General features: G+C 54.5%; 1 protein-coding gene and 1 long non-coding RNA gene across 2 annotated transcripts in view, besides 6 other annotated features; one reads left to right on the top strand and one right to left on the bottom strand.

Annotated features, from left to right (window-relative positions):
* Nucleotides 1–21340, top strand: part of NACC2 (NACC family member 2) — an 88753-nt gene that overhangs the window by 61463 nt on the left and 5950 nt on the right. The window contains exons 3-5 of the mRNA NM_144653.5: nucleotides 17398–17562; nucleotides 19858–19963; nucleotides 20531–20628. Coding sequence (NP_653254.1) covers nucleotides 17398–17562; nucleotides 19858–19963; nucleotides 20531–20628 — 369 coding nt within the window. The remainder of the gene's footprint in view (nucleotides 1–17397; nucleotides 17563–19857; nucleotides 19964–20530; nucleotides 20629–21340) is intronic.
* Nucleotides 3660–3872: a silencer, noted in NCBI's record as "fragment chr9:138921801-138922013 (GRCh37/hg19 assembly coordinates)". NCBI's record gives its function as "represses an EF-1alpha promoter that drives an FKBP-Casp9 reporter gene in an ReSE screen in HepG2 liver carcinoma cells {active_cell/tissue: HepG2}" and the evidence as "EXISTENCE:reporter gene assay evidence [ECO:0000049][PMID:32094911]".
* Nucleotides 8677–9267: an enhancer, noted in NCBI's record as "H3K4me1 hESC enhancer chr9:138916406-138916996 (GRCh37/hg19 assembly coordinates)". NCBI's record gives its function as "activates a minimal SCP1, AML or CMV promoter by ChIP-STARR-seq in primed H9 embryonic stem cells {active_cell/tissue: H9 hESC(primed)}" and the evidence as "EXISTENCE:reporter gene assay evidence [ECO:0000049][PMID:30033119]".
* Nucleotides 9305–9843: an enhancer, noted in NCBI's record as "H3K4me1 hESC enhancer chr9:138915830-138916368 (GRCh37/hg19 assembly coordinates)". NCBI's record gives its function as "activates a minimal SCP1, AML or CMV promoter by ChIP-STARR-seq in primed H9 embryonic stem cells {active_cell/tissue: H9 hESC(primed)}" and the evidence as "EXISTENCE:reporter gene assay evidence [ECO:0000049][PMID:30033119]".
* Nucleotides 10920–11840: an enhancer, noted in NCBI's record as "H3K4me1 hESC enhancer chr9:138913833-138914753 (GRCh37/hg19 assembly coordinates)". NCBI's record gives its function as "activates a minimal SCP1, AML or CMV promoter by ChIP-STARR-seq in primed H9 embryonic stem cells {active_cell/tissue: H9 hESC(primed)}" and the evidence as "EXISTENCE:reporter gene assay evidence [ECO:0000049][PMID:30033119]".
* Nucleotides 11841–12763: an enhancer, noted in NCBI's record as "NANOG-H3K4me1 hESC enhancer chr9:138912910-138913832 (GRCh37/hg19 assembly coordinates)". NCBI's record gives its function as "activates a minimal SCP1, AML or CMV promoter by ChIP-STARR-seq in primed H9 embryonic stem cells {active_cell/tissue: H9 hESC(primed)}" and the evidence as "EXISTENCE:reporter gene assay evidence [ECO:0000049][PMID:30033119]".
* Nucleotides 17728–19314, bottom strand: LOC124902307 (uncharacterized). The gene is made up of 2 exons (XR_007061861.1): nucleotides 19061–19314; nucleotides 17728–18056 (listed from the first exon to the last, which is right to left on the bottom strand). It is a non-coding gene; the product is annotated as an uncharacterized LOC124902307 (long non-coding RNA).
* Nucleotides 20540–21330: an enhancer, noted in NCBI's record as "H3K4me1 hESC enhancer chr9:138904343-138905133 (GRCh37/hg19 assembly coordinates)". NCBI's record gives its function as "activates a minimal SCP1, AML or CMV promoter by ChIP-STARR-seq in primed H9 embryonic stem cells {active_cell/tissue: H9 hESC(primed)}" and the evidence as "EXISTENCE:reporter gene assay evidence [ECO:0000049][PMID:30033119]".

Here is a 21340-nt window from a genome sequence, read left to right as displayed (position 1 = left end):
TATTGGGTCTTCCAATCCATGGGCGTGGTACATCCTTCTGTTTATATATTAAGAATTGTGGGTTCATACTGATACTCTCCAAAGCAATAATTTTTTCTTAGGAATATTTTGTAGTTCTCTGCACATCTTTTTTTAAAAAGATTTATTCCTAGAAGTTCTTTTTTTTTTTTTTTTTTTTGAGACAGAGTCTTGCTCTGTCCCCCGGGCTGGAGTGCAGTGGCAGATCTCAGCTCACTCCAACCTCCAACTCCCGAATTCAAGCGATTCTCCTGCCTCAGCCTCCCGAGTAGCTGGGATTACAGGCACCCGCCACCACGCCTGGCTAATTTTTGTATTTTTAGTAGAGGTTTAGTAGGGGTTTCACCATGTTCGCTGGGCTGGTCTTGAACTCCTGACCTCAGATGATCCGCCCACATCAGCCTCCCAAAGTGCTGGGATTACAGGCGTGAGCCACCGTGCCCGGCCAGAAGTTCATTTTTTAATTTGAATTACATAGTACTTAACTTTGTTTTTTTCATGTCTGTTACTAATATATAGAAACAAATTGGATTATCTTTGAAGTCTGCTTACCTTGCTAACTCACTGATTTACTCTGAGAGTCTACCTGCAGATTATCTTGAATTTTATTTTATTTTATTTTATTTTATTTTTGAGACAGGGTCTCACTCTGTTGCCCCGGCTGGAGTGCAATGGCATGATCTTGGCTCACTGCAGTCTCCACCTCCTGGGCTCAAGTGATTCTCCTACCTCAGCCTCCCAAGTAGCTGGAATTACAGGTGTGTGCCACCATGCCCAACTTATTTTTTTTTGAGATGGAATCTTGCTCTGTTGCCCAGGCTGGAGTTCAGTGGTGTGATCTCGGCTCACTGCAACCTCTGCCTCCAGAGTTCTAGTGATTCTCCTGCCTCAGCCTCCCGAGTAGCTGGGATTACAGGCGCCTGCCACCATGTCTGGGTAATTTTTTTGTATTTTTAATAGAGACGGGGTTTCACCATGTTGGCCAGGCTAGTCTCGTGATCCACCCACCTCAGCCTCCCAAAGTGGCGGATTACAGGCATGAGCCACCATGCCCAGACTAATTTTTGTATTTTTAGTAGAGATGGGGTTTCACCATGTTGGATGGGCTGGTCTCGAACTCCTGATCTCAAGTGATCCGCCTGCCTTGGCCTCCCAAACTGCTGGGATTACCTACGTGAGCCACCAGGCCTGGCCTGTTCTGGATACAGACATGTCATCTGCTCATAACCACAATTTCTTTATTTCTTCTTTCTTGCCTCATTGAACTGGCCAGAACTTCTTACATATCCCTGTCTCATTTCTAAACTCAGGAAAAGCTTCCACTGTTCCTCTTTAAGTAGGATGTTTGCTCTAGGCCTTACTGTGATACATTTTATCAGATTAAGGAAATTTATTTCATTTCCTAGGTTAAGAGGGTTTTTTTTTTCCTCGTAAGTGTTGCATTGTAACAAAAGCTTTCTCTAAGCATTGTAACAGTCCTGTGGTTTTCCTCTGCTGCCCTGCTAATGTGCTTAGTTGCATTGACTGCTTTTCCAAATATTGAAATAACTTCGTATTCCTGGAATAAATTCAACTGAGTTGTGCTGTGGCAGCCTTCTGTTATACATGCCTCTGGATGCAGCTCGCTGATATTCCTTCCCCTCCTTTTGGACGGCTCTCCAGAGCCATGGATCCTTCTCTGTTAAAGTCCTGGACAGAGCCTGAGACAGAAAAGGCCGGTGGGATCCCAGGAGTCTGGCGGGAGGGAAATCATCCCTTCTGTGGTCAAACCTGGGCAGTGATCACCAGGGGTGCTGCCGAGGACGACCCTTGCCCCCCATTCATTTATGCAGAGCACCAGGCCCTAGCATCGGGAAAGCTGTTAACAGCTGCCCATACACATCAGCTGTGGGTGTTGGTGCAGATGCCAAAACCTCACAGTTAGAGGAGGTGGGAATGCAGAGCCAGGGCCTGGAGGCAGCAGTAAAAGCCATGTGGGTTAAATCGGTTCCATGAGTGGCCACTAGCTGTATGGGATGAGATCATACATTTCTTATTTGCTAATATTTTCTTTAGAACTTCTTTAGGATTTGTGTCACCATGTTCACAAGAGAGATTGCCCTCTAATTTTGCTTTAAGGAAAAGTTCTGTGTTTTCTTGTTCTTTTTTCTTTGTCTTAAAATGGGGCCGTGGGCCGGGCACAGTGGCTCACACCTGTAATCCTAGCACTTTGGGAGGCCGAGGCGGGTGGATCACTTGAGCTCAGGAGTTCGAGACCAGCCTGGCCGACACAGTGAAACCCCATCTCTACTAAAAATACAAAAATTAACCTGGTGTGGTGGCGCACACCTGTAATCCCAGCTGCTCGGGAGGCTGAAGCACGAGAATTGCTCGAACCCGGGAGGCAGAGTTTGCAGTGAGCCGAGATTGTGCCACTGCACCCCAGCCTGGGTGATGGAGCAAGACTCTATCTCAGAATGAATGAATGAATGAATGAATGAATGAGGCTGTGGAGTAAAGGAGAGGGAAGGGCACTAACATTGATACCGACGTTCTCATCTCTTTACCTTCCCAATGTTTTGATATCAAGATTATCTGGCCTCATTAAATGAATTGAGAATTATTTCCTTGTCTTTAATGACCTGGAACAGTTTGTATAATGCTGTGCTATTTCATTCTTAAACCTTTGAAAAAATGTCATAGGCAAAGTCATTTTGGTCTGGAGTTCTTTGTAGGGAGATATTTATTTAGCTTCATTTTCTTGAGTAGCTGCAGGAATAGTTCACATAATCTATTTCCTCTTGTGTCAGGTTTGGTAAGTTGTGTATATCTGGAAGTTCATCGGCTCCGTCTAAAGTTGAGATGTATTGGCCGGGCACGGTGGTTCACTCCTGTAATCCCAGCACTGCGAGGCTGAGGTGGGCAGATCACTTGAACTTGGGAGTTTAAGACCAGCCTGGGCAACATGGCAAAACCCCATCTCTACCAAAAATACAAAAAGTTAGCCAGGCATGGAGGTGTGTGCCTGAGGTCCCAGCTACTCGGGAGGCTGAGATGGGAGGATCGCTTGAACCTGGGAGGCGCAGGTTGTAGTGAGCTGAGATGACACCACTGCACTCCAACCTGGGTGACAGAGCGAGACTGCCATCTCAAAATAAGTGTTAAAGTTCAGATGTATTGACATGAAATTGTTCCAGTACCCTCTTTTTATTTTTTTTTTGAGACGGAGTCTTGCTCTGTCGCCCAGGCTGGAGTGCAGTGGCGCAGTCTCGGCTCACTGCAAGCTCCACCTCCTGGGTTCACGCCATTCTCCTGCCTCAGCCTCCCAAGTAGCTGGGACTACAGGCGCCTGCCACCATGCCTGGCTAATTTTTTTGTATTTTTAGTAGAGATGGGGTTTCACTGTGTTCACCGGGATGGTCTCGATCTCCTGACCTCGTGATCTGCCTGCCTTGGCCTCGCAAAGTGCTGGGATTACAGGCGTGAGCCACCGCGCCCGGCCTCCAGTACCCTCTTTAAGATCTTCTGAATGTCTACAACAGGGATGAGCCTCCTCTGACTATGGCAGATCTGTCCCGTGTCCTGTTTTTGTACAGCCTGCAAACTAAGGATGGGGTGTATATTTCTAAAGGATTCCTTTGAAAAAGCAAGGAAGGGCTGGGTGTGGTGTCTCATGCCTGTAATCCCAGCACTTTGGGAAGCTGAGGCGGGTGGCTCACTTGAGGTCAGGAGTTCAAGACCAGCCTGGCTATCATGGTGAAACTCCATGTCTACTAAAATTACGAAAATTAAGCAGGTGCAGTGTGTGTCACAGGATCCTTGGGGTGTCGCTTCACCCGCCAGAAACCTCTGTGGCCGGTGGTGCCTTTACCCAAGTTTTGCTCGTGCCTGCTGGGCTCATTCCACCCGTTCGGCCCAGCAGGCTGTGCCAGGTTTGCACTACCGGCCCGGATCCCACACCTCTGAGGGTGAGCCAGGCACAGAGCAGCAAGGGGTGTGTGAGCGAGCAAGCTCCAGGCCCAGCCACTGTGCACAGCCAGGCACACTGGCTGCAGTGGGGTGGGCAGCTCCAGGCACTGGCACAGGCGCCGGCTCCCTGCAGGGCTGCAGCTGTACCAGGCATACCTCAAGCAGCTTCTGCTGACACTGGGAAACACGGTGGCACCTGGAAGCTTGGAGATGCCAGGAACTGCAGAGCCCCAAAGAAGGTGTCACAGCCCCGGCTCACGGACCTCCTGGGTCTGGGATCCCCGAAGGGCTGCAGCTCTTCTCTCCTCATTGCCCACAACGTGGTGGGCAAGGGGCATGTTTCAGCCCTGTTTGTGTTACAGCTCTTTCATCTCTTTTAATCCTGCCATTTGGCAGGTCCCGAGTTCTTGTTCCGCATCCAGGAAAATGAGGTATGCAGACAACTGGAGGGCAAGTAAAGTGAAGAAATGCTTTATTGAGGGACAGTACAGCTCTCAAGGAGACCCTGGAGTGGGTAGCTCCTCTCTGCAGGCAGGTCTCCTCAACATCTGCTCAGCTCTCAGCTGAGAGGAGACCCACAGTGGGTAGCTCCCCTCCTCAGGTAGGCCATCCTGTTGTCTGGCTGAGTCTGGGGTTTTTATGGCCTTCAGAGGGCAGGATGTGCATGCTGATTTGTCCATGGGCAGCCATGAGTGGGCCCGGAAAAGGCAACATAAGTTCTCACTCCAGTCTGCGGAACTGACAGCCTGGGCCCTGGGCTTCAGGCCATTCCTGGCTTGAAGGTAGGGCTTACCAGGACCCACCCCTTTCCATCCAGGAGCCTGTCTGCCTCCTGCCACCATTAACCTGCTTATGGTGGCCACACACACCCAGGCTGTTAGCCCCACCTCGGCCTCCCTCTTGTGCTCGACGGTGCCCAACATCCAGAGGGGGCCAAGGCGGCAGGGGCCTGGCATGTCAGCACTGCCCTGAGCGCACATACACCTGGCCAGGTCATGACAGTGCCCAGGTTCAGCTACAACTTTGCTCCAAAATCGGAGCAGGTCCTGGAAGTGAGGAGAGGGCCAGGCAGCAGGAGCAGGCACTTCTGAGCCTGTGCAGGCAGGGGGGCTTCCCAGGCCCCCAAGAGTGCAGAGATGCTCAGGTCTGCAGCCACAGCTGGGCAACTGCAGCTGCGCCTGGGAGGGTGGAACTCCCACCCCTCCAACTTGGAAGCGGGCAAGATTTCTACCTGTTCCCGGCTCCTGCCAGCTCCATGGAGCGTGCAGCCCTGGCCACGCCTCACCCACTACAGCTGGCATCATGGCAGTGGCTGGTCCAGACGGGCCACCGCTGCCATCACCTGTAGTCACAGTTACGCAGGAGGCTGAGGCAGAAAAATTGCTTGAACCCAGTAGGCAGAGTTGCAGTGAGCTGAGATCGCACCACTGCACTCCAGCATGGGTGACAGAAAGAGACCCTGTCTCAAAAAAAAAAAAAAAAAAGGAAGCAAAGGCAAAGAAGGACAAGTGGCAGAAAGTACATGTGGTCAGCCTACCTAAAGTATTTACTCTCTGGCCCTCCCAGCAGAAGTTTGCCAGCCCTGTTCTGTAGAACCTGTTGTGTAATGGAGTGTTCCTTAATGGTGTCAATTTTTTTTTTTTTTTTTTGGAGATGGAGTTTCTCTCTGTCACTCAGGCTGGAGTGGCTCCTGCCACTCAGCCTCTCAAGTAGCTGGGATTACAGGCACCTGCCATTATGCCCAGTTAATTTTTGTATTTTTAGTAGAGATGGGGGTTTCACCATGTTGGCCAGGCTGGTCTCGAACTTCTGACCTCAAGTGATCCACCCACCTTGGCCTCCCAAAGTGCTGGGATTACAGGTGTGAGCCACTGTGCCAGGCCGATGTTAATTTTTGTCTTTTCTCTTTTTCTCTTTGTTCAGACTTGCTAGAGAGTTTCCATTATATTTGTCTTTTCAAAGAACCAACTTCTGGATTTTTTCTCTTATGTATGTATTTATATATTTTTTTATTTCAGTTTATCTCTACTTTCTTTGTGTTTACTTTGCTATTATATTCCTAGTTTTTGAGAGAGATCTGTAGATCATTGATACCTCAGCCTTTTAAAGTAAAGCACTTAGGGCTCTATATTTCCTGATCAGCACTGCCTAATTCTAACACATTTTCATGTCAGATTTTCATTATCATTCAGATAAAGGTATTTTCTAGTCATTTGTGATTTTTTTTTCCCTTTTGCCCTTGTGTTATGTAGCAATGTACTGCTTAATTTACAAACCTTTTTGGATTTTCTGGTCATCTTTTTTGTTATGAATTCTGAATTAAATTTCCAGTGGACATAGAATGCACTCAGCCTAGTTTGTTACTCTGGAGTTTGTTGAGACTTTCCCTGAGCCCCTGTATATGTTCCATATACATTGAAAAGAAATAGCATAAACGGTGCTGATAAGGAAGGCAAATGTATATTCTTTCAGGTGTGTTTTTATCTTGTGTTGGCCACAGCAGAGCCACCTCAGCTCCCTTTTGTTTAATATTTACCTGGTACATCTCTTTCTATCATTTGTCCTCTTGTTTGAGGTTTTCTCTTGGGTTTTGTTTTATTCATTCTTCACAAACATTAATTTTTTTTGTTTGTTTTGAGACAGAGTCTTGCTCCATCGTCCAGGCTGGAGGGCAGTGGCGCTATCTCGGCTCACTGCAACCTCCGCCTCCCGGGTTCTAGCAATTCTTGTGCCTCAGCCTCCCGAGTAGTTGGGACTACAGGCATGTGCCACCACACCGGCTGTTTCTATTTTTAGTAGAGACTGGGTTTCACCATGTTGGCCAGGCTGGTCTTGAACTCCTGACCTTGGGTGATCCCCCTGCTTCAGCCTCCCAGAGTGCTGGGATTACAGGCATGAGCTACTGCACCCGGCCAACAAACGTTATTTTCTACTGGAGTGTTTTGACTTTCATTTCACGTGGTTACTGACTTTGCTGGGTTAATCTACCGTCTTGTCCATTGGTCTCTGCTCTTCCCCTCTGACCTCCTGTTGCTTCTCCTTTCTTGTCCCTCCTTTCTGATTAATCAGGTATTCCATTTTCCCCTGTATATGCCTATTAAAAGTTTGTATACTGTTCTTGTAGGTTAGGGATTTCAGCATTCATCCTGAGTTAGAATGTTCTGTGTGTTAATTCTGTGTATGTTGTAAGCACCACTAGACGTGCCTTTGTCATTTTACATCATTGTGTTTATATTTATCTGCACATTTTTTCCCCATGCTTTTCACTGTCTCCTGCGTTACCTCACTCCCTCCTATCTGAGATCACTTTCCTTTTGATGCGGCTCCATGTCCTTGGTCGGTCTGGGGACCCCTCAGTCTGTCTCCTCAGAGCCTCAGCCTCCTCTCCTCCTCTCCTTCTGGGGCTCCAGTTACATGTATGTTAGGCTTTCCCCAAGTCCTATGTGTTCCATGTGTCTTTTATTCTGTTTTCTGTATTTTCTATTCTTTTATCTTTTTTTTTTTTTTTTTTTTTTTTGAGATGGAGTTTTGCTCTTGTTGCCCAGGCTGGAGTGCAGTGGTGCCATCTTGGTTCACTGCAACCTCCACCCCCGCTGGGTTCAAGCAATTCTTCTGCCTCAGCCTCCAGAGTAGCTGGGATTACAGGTGCGCACCACCACACCTGGCTAATTTTTTGTATTTTTAGTAGAGACGGAGTTTTGCCATGTTAGCCAAGCTGGTCTCGAACTCCTAACCTCAAGTGATCTGCCCACCTCGTCCTCCCAAAGTGCTGGGGTTACAGGTGTGAGCCACCACGCCTGGCCTATTCTTTCTTATTCTGCATCAATCTGGATATTTTGTATTAAATTATTTTCCAGTTCACAAATCTCATCTGCACTATTTAATTTTCCCCTAAATAATTCTTTTGAGTTCATATTGTTAGTTGTTGGATTTTTTTTGTTTGTTTTCGAGATGGTCTTGCTCTGTCACCCAGGCTGGAGTGCAGTGGCACAATCTCAGCTCACTGCAACCTCTGCCTCCTGGGTTCAAGCGATTCTCCTGCCTCCACTTCCTGAGTAGCCGGGACTACAAGTGCATACCACCACACCTGGCTAATTTTTTTGTATTTTTAGTAGAGGCGAGGTCTTGCCGTTTTGGCCAGGCTGTCTCGAACTCCTAACCTCAAGTGACTGGCCCACCTCAGCCTCCCAGAGTGCCGGGATTACAGGCATGAGCCACTGCGCCCGGCTGCGTTTTTTTTTTTTTTAATAGGACTTAATCCCTTTTGTTGATTCTAGTTTTCTGGTGAAATTTTCCATCTTGTTGCCTGTATTTCTTGTACACATTAAAAATTGTTATTTTAAATTCGGTGTCTGCTAGTTGTCTGATCTGATGTCCTTCTGTAAATTGTTGGTTTTGTTTTGTTGTTTTGTTTTGTTTTGTTTTTTATCATTTGGTCTATGGGTCCACATCTAACATCTCTTTGTGAAATAGTTTTCTATCATTTGGTTCTGTTTTCTGGGATTCCTGGCCCTTTCTTATGGACGGCCGGACATCGTGTGAAAACAGGTGAGGAGTCGTAAGCAGCACTCCTCAAAGGGTCTGGGGACTGTTGCGTGAAGGTCTGCAGTGAGGGGAAATCTGTGCCATCCAGCAGCGCCCGTGCCCACATTCTCCAAGGCCGGTGTGCTTCTGGTTTGCCTCACACCGTAGCCTGTAGCCCTTCCAGGGCCTCAGCTGAAAGCCTGGTGTTCCCCAGAACCCCTCCTCTTGGCTGGCCTTGAAATCAGTCCATTTTCATCTCTCCAATACACGAGATGCCAAATTCTAGATTTCCTTGTTTTTTTCGTTTCTTGGCAGTTGATTTTGCTCCATCTCTGCCTGCATGCATGGCTACTTAGTAGTCAGCAGATATCCAAGGGACAGTTCCGAAATTGCACCCTGAGGCCGGCTCTCAGGATCCTGGGCCCCGAGGCTCCCGGCTCTGTCAGCCACTGCCGCCTTTAGGCCCTGCCGCCTCAGCTGCTCCACCCCAGGGCTGGCAGGTCCCAGTTCTCAGGATCGCAGCCCCTCAGGGTTGTAGTTGGTCTTTTGATAATTTTGGTAGTTGTTTTTGATGAGGGAGTTAGTCTAATATTGGCTGCTCCCTCATATCCACAGTGGGAATCTCTGGGGCGTTTTAAAAGTTAAATATATTTATTTTTGCATAGCTAATGTGTGTTCACTGTCTTAAAGACTAGGAAAAGGTCATAGAGTGAAAGCCATTCTCCCCTGCTGGTCCTCACATGCACACTCTGTCCTTACACACACACTCTGTCCTTACACACACTGTCCTCACACACACTGTCCACACACACACACACACACACACACACACATTCTGTCCTCACACACACTGTCCTCACACGCACCCTCTGTCCTCACACATACCCTCTGTCCTCACACACACACACTCTGTCCTCACACACACACACTCTGTCCTCACACACCCTCTGTCCTCACACACACACCTTCTGTCCTCACACACACACACTCTGTCCTCACACACACACACTCTGTCCTCACACAAACCCTCTGTCCTCACACACACGCACCCTCTGTCCTCACACACACCCTCTGTCCTCACACACACCCTCTGTCCTCACACACACCCTCTGTCCTCACACACACACACTCTGTCCTCACACACACACACTCCGTCCTCACACACACACACACACACACACTCTGTCCCCACACACACACTGTCCTCACACGCACCCTCTGTCCTCACCCACACACACACACACTCTGGCCCTCACTCACACTCTGGCCTCACACACACACGCTGTCCCCACACACTCTGTCTCCCAGAGGAACTCACAGCTGGCACACATCCCGGGAGCTTCCTCCATGTCTGACGCATGTGCACGTGTGTGTGGGGGGGGTTGTGCATTTGTGTGGTTGGGGGCATGCACGTGTGTATGGCGGTGGGTACACACTTGTGTGGGTGGCATCCCGTGCATTGCCCTTCATTTGTCCTTAGTGTCCTGGTCGTCCTTCTCAGCACACACAGACCCTGCTAGTGTCTTCACAGTGACCCGTGCCATGTGCTGTGATAGGTGGGATTGATTCAACCTGTGCCTATGGCTGGACAAGCTCTTGCAAAGGCAGGGCGGGCCACCTGCTGCCTCGAGGATGTCCTTGGGCAAGTCTGAGAAACGTGTGGATGGATGTAGAGCAGGAAAGGGATGCCATCAGATCAGCAATAAAAATCATCGCTGGGATCCCTGTCGGAGGCCTGGACCACTTGGGGACTTCTTGAGTCTCCAGGACCAGGCTTGGTGCTGGTAGGAGTGGGTGCTGGGATTTGCAGGAGATAAAATGACAGCACCTGCCAGGCCTGGAGGAAGCCTCAGCTCTAAGGAGGGCACTGGCCAGGAGTGTGGGTGGGGCAGGGCAGGGGCCAGGTTTGATGGGACTGTTGAGCTGGTCGAGAAGCCCAGAGGGTCCCACTCACTCGGGGATCCCACGTTCTCCGAGAGCTGAGCAGGCCCAGGTGCCCTGGCGGGCTGCAGGGTCATGCCGGCCCCTCGCGTCGGGAGCAAGCTCCTGGGGGTGCCAGTGAGGATTCTACTTAGTGGCCCCCACATCTTCCCCCGCAGCTGCACCCATGAGTGTGGGCATGGGGACTCGAGAGACCAGCGAGCCCCTTTCCATCCGGGTTTCCAGGAGACCCAGAGAGGCCAGGATATGCGTACAGGTCCTTCCTCCCTCCCTCCTCCCCCTCCCTCCTCCCTCCCTCTTCCCTCCTTCCCTCCCTCCTCCCTCCCTCTTCCCTCCTTCCTCCCTCCTTCCCTCCCTCCTTCCTGATGTGAATGTCCCTCTCTGCCTTCATTTTTCTTCCTCCTGGCTTTCCCTGCTGGGCTTTTCTGCATTTCCCCATGTGTCAGCATCCACGAAACGGGCTGTGTCTTAACAGGCACGGTGTGGCGTGGCATGGCGTGGTAATTGGTGATGGTTTGCCTTCCCAGTTATGGCGTGGCATGATTAAATTGGTGGCACCTTTGCCCTGTGGCACATGAGAGAATGGCATGCCTTATAATTGTGGCCTCTGTGCTCCCACCAAGTACAGCGTGGAAGTCGTTTCTGGTCTTTCTGGAGGATGACAGAGGCACTGCCCCAGCCAGCACTGGTAGTTGATGGGCCCTGTGTGTTAGGCGCATGCTGTGTGCCAGGCCCTGGGGACACTGACCAGCAGGGTGAGCCCCCCTCACTGCCAGAAGCACTGGACCCAGAACAGGCTCACTGGCCAGGAGGCAGCGAGCTGGGACCATGGACCCACCCCCAAAGCTGGGTGGAAGGGGCAACAGCAGGGAAGGCAGGTCTCCCCGAGCTGCAGTGACCACACTAAATGCCACGTCTGCACCAGTTGGCCCCACAGCCGGCCCTGGGCTCTGGCCATCAGGAGGCACCTGGGCGGGGAGCTGGGAAGCAAGTTGTGGTCCCAGCCTTGCTGGGCATCGGGCAGGAGGGTGTTGAGTCCACACCTGTGTGCTTTCGGGGGTGGGACACAGCCCCATGTGGAGAGTGTGGTCATCTCCCCGAGGCCCACTGCATGTGGGGCACCCGTTACCTCATCACCCGGGCCTGGTCACCCGTCTGTGGTGCCCCCACATTGCCCCTCACCATTTCCACCTGGGTCCCTGTGCACCTGCTCTGCGCCTGATGCCACCAAGTTCACAAGTGTCCCTCACAGGTTGCCAGAGCTGGTCTGTGCCAAGCCGGCAGCTGCAGAGATAGTGCAGGGCATGTGCCAGGTCAGCCTCCAGATCCATGAGCAGAGGCCACCTAGAGTCGTGCAGGCTGCCCCCGTGGGGACAGGTGTGTAGCCCGACCTTTCCTCATTCACAATGGCTCCCTCGCCAAACCCCTCCATGCTGCCCTTGAGGCTTGTCCGCACCCCAGCCCCTGGTGGCCACAATGGAAATGATTCTCTGTCCCCCAAGTTTAGTTTCCTGGACAATGTCATACAAATGGGATCACCAGTATGTAATCATTTTACGTCTTCTGTGTAACAGCACGATTTGAGATCCATCCAGGTTGTGTGCCAATCATTTGTTCCTTTTCACAGCCAAGCGGTAACACGTCATGTGGATGGTTCACAGTGTCTTTATCTGCATGCCCATTGCAGGACATCCGGGCTGCGTCTAGCCTGGGGCATTCAAGAGTAGAGACGGGATAAGCGTTCCTGTGCAGGCTGTCTTTGGAGATAAACTCCCATTTTTCTTGGGCAAATACCTAGAAGTATAATTGCTGGGTCATAAGTGTATGTTGAACTTGACAAGAAGCCACCAAGCAGTTTTCCAGAGTGGCCATGCCACTTTGCACTCTCCCCAGTGAGGTCAGGACGTCCCAGCTGCCCCGTGTCCTCGCCAGCACTTGGGGGTGTCAGTGTTTTTATGTTTCGCCGCACTGGGAGGTGAGACCACGTCGTCAGGACGTCCCAGCTGCCCCGCATCCTCGCCGGCACTTGGCGTCGGTGTTTTTACGTTTCCCGCACTGGGAGGTGGGACCGCAACATGGCTTGATTTGCATTTCTCCCATGGCTAAGGATGCTTGAGTGTCTTTTCATGTGCTAATTTCCATCTGTAAGTCCCCTGGGGAAGAGTCTTCAAATCTTTTGCCCATTCTTGGAACTGGATTGTTGGTTTTTAACTGTTGAGTATCGAGATTTCTTTATATTTTTTAGATACAAGTCCTTTGTCAGATATGTGATTTGCAAGCATCTTCCTCCAGTCTGTGGCTAGCTTGTTTTTTTATCTTCATTCAGAGATCGGAAGTTTTTCATTCTGATGAATTCTAGCTCGTCAATCATTTCCATTGTGGATCGTGCTTTGGGGGCCTTGTCTAAGACTTTAGCTTAACCTAAGCTCATAAAGACCTTCTGCAGTTTTTGTGTAGGGTGCGAGGCTGAGACGGAGGGTGGTTTTGGTGCCACGTGTGGGTGCGGATGGCCAGTTGCTCAAGCCCCATTTGTGAAGGCTGCTGCCTCCTCCGTTGACAAAGGCTGGTGCACCTTTGTCAAAAGCCAATCGAGCATGGCCATGTGGGTCTGTCTGTGGGTCTCCTATTCTGTGCCATTGACCTGTCTGTCCACTTCCCTGAACCATGCAGGCTTCATGACTGTAGCTGTACAGGAAGTCTTAAAATCAGTTGATTCAGCACTGTTCTGTCCATTTGCATTTAAGTTGTATATTTCTGTATCATCAAGGACTAGGGGCTCATTTTCTTGTGGTGCATTTTAACAAATGGTATACACTTTTAGGGAGTAGGCCTCCCCGTCTCCCTCCTACCCCCGCCGAGGCTCTGCTGGGCTCCACCAGGCGGCCCTACCACTCGCCACTGCCGCCCACATCCGCACAGACTCCCCTGGTGGGGCTGCCTGCGTGGTCTCTGATGGTGTCACCTGGGCGAGTCCCCGATGACACACTCTGCCTTGGGGACAGGAACAGGGCTCGCCATCTGGGACATCCTGCCGTGGTGTTGGCCCGTGGGCAGGGATCTCGGGGTGTTTTGCCTGGTGAGGACGTGGAGCACCTCAGAACCCAATCAGTAACCCAGGGAGTTGAGAAAAGTCAGGGTGAGGCCAATGAGACCCGGTTTCCCTCCAGACCTGCATGGCCCCCTCCTTCTGACGTTCGTTCATTTGTTCTTTCTGAGCGTTGTTATTGTGGTAAAGTGGACGTGAGAGGGGCCGTTGCAGTGACTTTTACGTGCGTGGTTCGGTGATGCTAAGCGCATTCCCACTGTTTTGTGAGCATCACTGCCATCGGCTCCAGAACTTCCCATCTTCCCCAGATGAACCTCTCATCCCCATGAAACGGTCCCTCCCCGTTCCCCCACCCAGCCCCGGCACCCACCCTCTGTTTCCCGCCTCTGTGGACCTGACGACTCTGGGGGCCGCCTGCGAGTGGAGCCCCGGGATGTGTCCTTCTGTGTCTGGCAGCTTCCTGAGTGTGGTGTCCTCCAGGCTCAGCCGCCCTCTCGCAAGCTCCCCTGGTGTCGCCCGGCTGGGAGCAGAAGGGCCTGGAAGGTACGGCGGGGGCTCCTTCTGGGTCCCTGAAGGCCCCAACCCCGCGCCCCGGGCAGCATTTGTCCTTGTGTTTGCTTCGCCCCGTGTGGTCCAGGGAGGCTGCCCACCTGCCTACCCTCAGTAGCTGGGCCCTGCTGCCCGGGAGGCTGCTGCTCCGGGCCCTCTCGTCGTGACCCTGGTGCACCTTCCCTGTGTGGGGGCGCGGTTGTTCACCTCCATGCAGTTAGCTCATTGCTCTTTATGAGCTGTTCCCAGATGTCACCATGCTGAGAGGTTTGGAGGGCACCGTCCTGGCACCTGAGTTTCTTCACAGGGCTGTCGAGGGTGAAGGTGGCAGTTCTGCTACAGCGGCCAGTCCTGGGGTGACAGGAGGCCACGGGTCCCCCAGTACCCGAGACCCAGGCTCAGGAGGGACCTCAGTGTGACCGGCAGGGGCCTCTTCCTTGCTCACAAGCCCATCGAGGGGCCTCCTGCCACCCTGGAACCCAGCTCTGGCCCCGACTCACGGGGCCTCTGAATGGCCCTTCCGGGGGCCACGAGGGATGAGCCGTCCTGTCTCTGCCATGAACAAGTCTCTCTGCGGGTTCTCCGTTAAAGCCCAGTTGTAGCCTGGACCTTGAAGCTCAGCTCCTGCAGAGGGTGAGCTGGGGGCCGGGGAGGTGGAGGCTGCGTGAAGACATTGAGGCACCTTTGCGGACGAGCTTCCACTCGGGGCGGGGTGTTTTTAGCCAGCAGCACCCGGTGCACGGCAAGGCAGAAATAGAAGAGGCTTTTTTGGCCGCTCTGGTGCTGACAGTCTCTGGCTCTTGGGGAGCTGGGCAGGGGCTGGGGAGGGGCGGGTGTTCCAAGCACAAACAACTTCTGCTGTTTAGAAAAACATCTCGAGACGAGGTGGTTGTGGATGGGGAATTATTTCTGTTGGTGAACTCTTTATGTAAATGCCACGCACCGTGCGGCTTCTCCGCGTGTGTAATCACAGCAGGCTGCACCGGGGGTGGGGGTGTGTAATTATGTTTTAAAATACCACCCGGGTTGTTTTGCTGTGTTCCCTGAGCACTCGGGTAATTCTGGGCTTATCCTGCGATGCTCTGCCCCACCGGGAAATGCTGCCTGACCCCTGTAGTGGCCGGGCAGGGGCTGTGCACCCACCTTTGAGGCCCCCTTTCTGGCCTCTGTTCTGTTGCAGCCTCTGCTTGGGTGTCCCTGGGCCTTGGGAAGCTCCCCTTCCTGGGACTGACAGGTGCAGTGCGTACCACGCTCATCCTGGGCCAGTGGGTCCCTGGGGAGGGAGTGTCAGGGTGACTCCAGGGTGGGTGGTTTCAGACCCCGCATGGTTCTCAGGAGTGGAACACCTGCTGCCTTCAGTGGGGCGCCCGCTGTGGATTCAGGATGTGGGGTCCTCAGAAACCAAGGTTTCAGCCCCCCAGGGCTGGGTGGCCTGCCCCTCCCTGACAGGCGCTGGGTGCAAAGGTGACTCTGGGACCCTCCCTGCCTCCTGCCCTCCTCAGGCTGCTCCCCAGCAGCCCCCTTGGCAGCCCCCCCACGCCCCGAGGCTCAGCCACCCCTGTAGAGTTTTTCTGTGACTCTCCAAGGTGGGGGTCATGGAGGGACTGGGAACAGGGACAGCATGGCCAGGTGCACCTGCCTCTGAGCGTCCTGGTGCGGTGCGGCCGCAGGTGGGCTCTGCATGGAGCTGCCTGCCCCGAGCCTGCTGGACGTGCAGGTTCCACCCCACCCCTCCCTCTGCACAGCTGAGACCAGCAGGTCCTGCAAGCTGCCCCCCGCCCCCCACCGGGGGACTTCCCATCACACTGAGGCTGCCGAGGGGACCATGCCGTGCCCTCGGCAAGCAAGGTCCAGCCCCGGGTGGCCCAAGGGCCTCTCCCACCTGCAGGCTGCCCTCGTGCAATCGGGCAGGTGGAGGCTGGGCCTTGGGGCCTTCCCTGCAGGCCTTGCGCTCGGTAGGGTGTGCAGGAGCCCAGGGCAGTGGGATTGATTCCCTAGTGAAGGCAGCTGACTGGGCAGGTGGCCCTCTCAGGGCCTTGCCTTTTGTGCTGGGACACAGGAATGAGGGAGGCGGTGCTCCGCCCTCACCTGAGCAGGGTGGCTGTGCTGGCAGCCTACCAGGCTGGGGTGTGAGGAGTGCCGGACTGGTGTCCACCGTGGCATGTGAGCACCGGGGGCCCGCTCAGGGGAGCTGATCTTCACCCTGGAACCCTGCTGGGCTTGTGAGGACCCCTGTGTGAGGGTGGGCCCTATGAGGCTTCCTGGGACTCAGGGTGGTGGGGGTGGGGGGCAACAGGGAAGTGGGAGCCCCAGGCATTGCTGGGCAGGATTTGGGGCCAGGGCTGTGTTTCCTTGGCCCCGCGCACCTGGTGCATGCTGGGTGTCCAGCAGGTGGTCGTCAGATGAGGGGTCTCAGCCCTGGCCCTCCATGAACGCTCTAGAGGGGCTCTGTGACCCTGACAGCAGAGAGTCCTGCCCAGGGACCTCGGGGTGGCACCATGGGCTGTGTGGCCCAGGAGCCTCCGAGGGGCCCGTCTCTGACGCGTGGTGCCATCGGGGTCGCGCTGCACAGCTGCAGGTCCTGAGGATGCAGGGCGCCTGGCCGTCATCTGCCCCAGCAGTGGTTTGTCGGGAACAGCCCCAGACAGCAGGAGGGCTGCCCCTGGTGGCGGTGGCGGTGGCGTGTCGGCCAGCCTGGCTATTGGCAAGTGTTTATGGAGTTGCTCCTCGTCAGGCCAGCACAGTCCCAGGGCTGTGTTCTTGGATGCACTGAGTCCCCCGTGTCCTTGCCCCTGAGTCAGGTGGCCATGCCCCACTGCCCCTTGCTGGGAGCTGCTGGGAGAAGAGTTGGGGGCCACAGTACCTGTCACCCCTGTCCAGCTACCCACCTCTCCTCCACCCAGCAGTTTTTGTGGCCCCAGAAGTGGCTGCCCTGCTGGCCCTGCCAAGCCGTCCTCCATCCTCCATCCTGTCTTGCGCCGTACTCTCCCTTGGGGACCCAAGCACTGAGCTGTCACTCCTGCCCGGCAAGCAGGCTCTGCATAGCACCCTCCTAGGAGTCAGCCCTCAGCAGCTCATTCCCTGGGCCTGAGCGGGCATCTCTCGCCTCACATCTTCTGCTCACTCGTTCACAAGAGCTTCCCTGTGAGGGCAGGACTAGGTGGGCAAGAGGGCACCAAGTAGGGATGGGGCAGGCTGAAGCCAGTCTGACCCAGGCCAGCAGGAGAGCGGCACAGAGTGGCCTCACCTGGGCCCAGGTGGGCAGAGTGGGTCTAACACAGGCCCCAGGGAGCATGGAGGGCAGGCGGGCAGGCACAGAGCAGCCCGGCCCCCCAGATGCCCATCTGACCAGGTTGGTTCTGGGCCCACAGTGCAAGAGAAGCCTGAGCCAGTGCCGCTGGAGAGCCGCTCCTGCGTCCTCATCCGCCGCGACCTCGTGGCCCTACCTGCCAGCCTCATCAGCCAGATCGGATACCGCTGCCATCCCAAGCTCTACTCGGAAGGGGACCCCGGGGAGAAGCTGGAGCTGGTGGCAGGTGAGGCTGCCTCCCACCCATCTATTGTATGCAAATGTCCTCATTTATTTATTTATTTATTTATTGGAGAGCTCTGAACAATGTACTCATCACCAATCAGTCAAAAAAAAAATCTTAAATTTCCTCTAATTTCCTTTTAGAAGAATGTGTCATTAAGAGAAGTTATTCAATTGAATTAATTTAGCATTTTAATTGAATCCCCTGGGCTGGTCGCATTCCTGATTGGCAGGGGCTGCAATCACAATGTGTTTTAATTTAGGTCACAGATAAAACCATGTCACGTATAGTTGCCAGTCCCCCCGCCCCGCGAGGGTCCAGTTGCAGCCTTTGAGGGTAACGGCCAGGTTCCAAGTGGCAGCAGCAGTCAAGGCGGGATCCTTCTGGCAGAACAAACACGTCCGAGTCCAGAAGCCCGTGGGGGCCGGGCCTCGCTCAGGAATTTACCTTTTGTGTTGGATTCCTTTGGCGTCATAGCTCCTTGTAGATTTTTACAACTGTTAAGGAGAAGATGGGGCAGGCTAAAGCCAGTCTGACCCACGCCATGGGCATCTTCTTTGGTGACTATTGGGCCATTTTCTGGGGATTTCTTCCCGGTTTTCCAGGAAGCCCCAAGCTTGGGCCCTCAGGCGCTTTCCTTGGCCACAGCCTGAGCAGTTCTGCGTAGCCCTGTCCTGTTCCTGTCCACCCCCAAAGGCCATACCTTGGGCAGCGTCTCGGGGTCTTCCCTCCCAGCAGGACGAGTGCCTCAGGTGTGAGCCACTGCCTGAGGGTTGCCTGGGCTGGCCTCGCCTTCCAGCTGCCAGGGACTTCGGTCCTCATGGGAGAGTGGCCTCCTGGGCTGCACCTGGCAGTGTTGGGCTGCCCTGGCCAGGAGGGGTAGGGGCCCACCTTGCTGTGGCCTGAGCTCCCACCCTGCCCCGGCACTGCTTCTGGATGGCGAGCGCAGTGCTGGGCTGCCGGGGCGGCTGGGTGGGCCCCTGGGGTTGGGCTCTGGGGCGCAGGTGCCCACGCGGGCCCTGGTGCTTCACATAGGTGTGGTCCCAGGAAGATGCTCTCGGTCATCCCAGCCTCCAGCAGCTGTGGCCTCTGTTTGGGGTGTGGGGCTGATGGGATTGGAGACGTGCTTCAGTTTATGAGCTCCTCAGGAGAGTTCCTCCAGCCCAGACCCTGGCAGGAAGGGCCTGTGGGAGTGGTGGGGCAGGAGACGGGCCATGGCAGGAAGAGGTCATGGGCACTCACAGGCTCCTGGAAGCAGGCGCACCTGGACATCGTGTCCTTCAGGACATGACATCTCATGGTCATTGAGACTGGCTGCCCCCAGAAAGCATTCCCTCCCCATTGTTCCCAGAGGGTTCAGTCCTGCTGCTTGTCCATGCCCTCGCTCACCCAGACCCTGGTGGGACACCTGGGGTGTGGTCAAGTTTCCGAGGGTAAACAGCACAGCGTGGACCTCTCTGGCCACGCCTCTGCCCTAGCTGGTTTTCCTCTTCACACATACCCAGAGGAGGTCAGCACTGGGCCCTGCAAAGCTCCAGCCATACCCTCCAGCCAGGGGATTCCGTCTCCCTCATCGTTGCCTGAGGGCTCTCTGGTATCTGGGACGGAGCAGAAAGGCAAAGACATGAGTGTTTCCCAAACCCAGGGCCACAGCCAGCCCTTCAGAGTGTGTTCCCTAGGCCAGGTGCAGTGCCCCTCCTCCTGTAATCCCAGCACTTTGGGAGGCCGAAGTGGGAAGATTGCTTGAGGCCAGGTGTTCAAGACCAGTCTGGGCAACATAGGGAGACTTCATCAAAATTAACTGGGCATGGTGGTGGCGCCTGTGGTCCCGGCTACTCAGGGGGCTGAGGTGGGAGGATCACTGGAGCCCGGGAGGTCGAGGCTACAGTGAGCCATGATGGCACCACTGCTCTCCAGCCTGGGCAACAGAGCAAGACCCCGTCTCTAAACAACAACAAAGTGTGTTCTTGGGGAGGGAGCTGAGGCCGGGGACCGCAGCATGGCCGGGAGAGCTTGGAGTTTGGGGCTCGTTGGGGAGGGTGGGGGGCGCTGTGGCTTTCCCCACCCCCTGCTTAGTTCCATGTGTGATTTGGGACCTGCTGGGGCTGGCCTTGGCCATGGCCTCTCCTGGTGACCAGCAGGTGGGACCTCAAATTGCTCCTCCCCAAAAAAAGTCCTAGAAGCTTCCAGCTCCTCCTCCCCCTCCACCTCCCCCCCTCCCCCTCACCCATCTGTGCGCCTCTTCGGACCCTATGGCCCGGGAAGGCCACGAGCCCTTTTTCTGTTTGGTGGCTGCAGGCTCTGGGGTCTACATCACACGCGGCCAGCTGATGAACTGCCACCTGTGTGCAGGGGTGAAGCATAAGGTCTTGCTGCGGAGGCTCCTGGCCACCTTCTTTGACAGGTAGGTCGGGGCAGGAGTGCTGGAGGGCACAATGGAGCTGCGGAGGGTTCTGGCTCCTTTAGCTATGAGCTGTCTGATCGTCCAGGGTTGTGGCATTGAAAGCCCTCTCGCATTCCTGACTTCAGCCGTGGCCGGTCGGCCCCAGGACGGTGGAGAGGCTCCCAGGGAGGGAGGGAGGGGCTGTCTTTCGTGGCCTTTCTCAAACGGGCTTGTGGATGCAACCCCCACAACAGAAAAATGAAGAGCCACACTTATTCTGTTGTGCTGATGGGCCAACAGAACCCTTCCCGAGGACACAGCGGCTTCCTCAGACGTCCCCGGAGTCCCTGAGGACAAGGCTCAGGTCACCTTGCAGCCCCATCACCCGGTCATCTTCTCAGCCCAGACGCTTTTCCTTTGTCCTGTCCCTTAGAGGGTGGCTGGGCCGGCTCCTGCCACTGGGACACACGCAGACCAGCCAAGGGTGAGGCCAAGTGGCCTCCCAGCAGGGCATTCGTGCGGGCGGGTCGCCTCCAGGTACCCTCCCCATCATCCTCACCCTGCCTGCCTTTCCGGTCCCTCCACCAGGAACACGCTGGCCAACAGCTGCGGGACTGGCATCCGCTCGTCCACCAGCGACCCCAGCCGGAAGCCGCTGGACAGCCGGGTCCTGAACGCTGTGAAATGTAAGAGCCTGGGGGTCTCTCGGGTGGGTGGGGCCGGGGCTGGGTTCAGATCCCAGCCTGAGGAGGACTGGGTGGGCCGCGGGGGTGCTCCCGGCCACCTGCAGCTTCCGTCCCTGGGGGCCGAGCATGGTCTGATTGAGGGGAAGATGAGGAGAAAAGAGCAGCTCTCAGAAGCCAGGTCTCGAGGTGTTAACGTTCTTGGTAGGTTTCCAAGTGTGATGAATTCAGCTGCGAAACTATTTTAATATGTGAAATAGATCTAATTTTCCTTTTTGAACAAAACCCCTTATTTACATTTTGCGGTTATTTTGAGCCTTTGCCATCTGTTCGGCCGGCTTCTGCCTCCCGCTCTTGGGCGTGTGGGGGCGGAGCCCGGTCCATCTCCAGGGCAGACCGCCGCCCCCGGCCCGCGCCCCAGATGTGGAAGATGCTGACTGCTGCCGGCTCGCACCAGGTGGCCAAGAGCACAGCCTCCTGTGGCCCTCGGCCCAAGAAGCACTATCTTGTTTTCTTCCTAAAAAAAAGAAAAAAAAAAAAAAAAAAAAACCTTGTGAGGCAAATTCTGTTTTAGAGCAAAAAGGGGCCTTTGCAGCCAGGAATTACAGTCCCCAAGTGTGGGGTGGCAGCCGAGGCTCTGGGAAGATTCTGGGAGGGACCGAGGTGGACGTGGCCCCTGGGACCTGCCTCTGGGTTTGATGCCGTTGGGAGGAAT

The sequence above is a fragment of the Homo sapiens genome, chromosome 9 (assembly GCF_000001405.40).
Source record: "Homo sapiens chromosome 9, GRCh38.p14 Primary Assembly".
Classification (NCBI taxonomy): domain Eukaryota; kingdom Metazoa; phylum Chordata; class Mammalia; order Primates; family Hominidae; genus Homo; species Homo sapiens.
The sequence above is the reverse complement of the archived record's forward strand: the minus strand, read 5'-3'. Positions and strand labels throughout refer to the sequence as shown.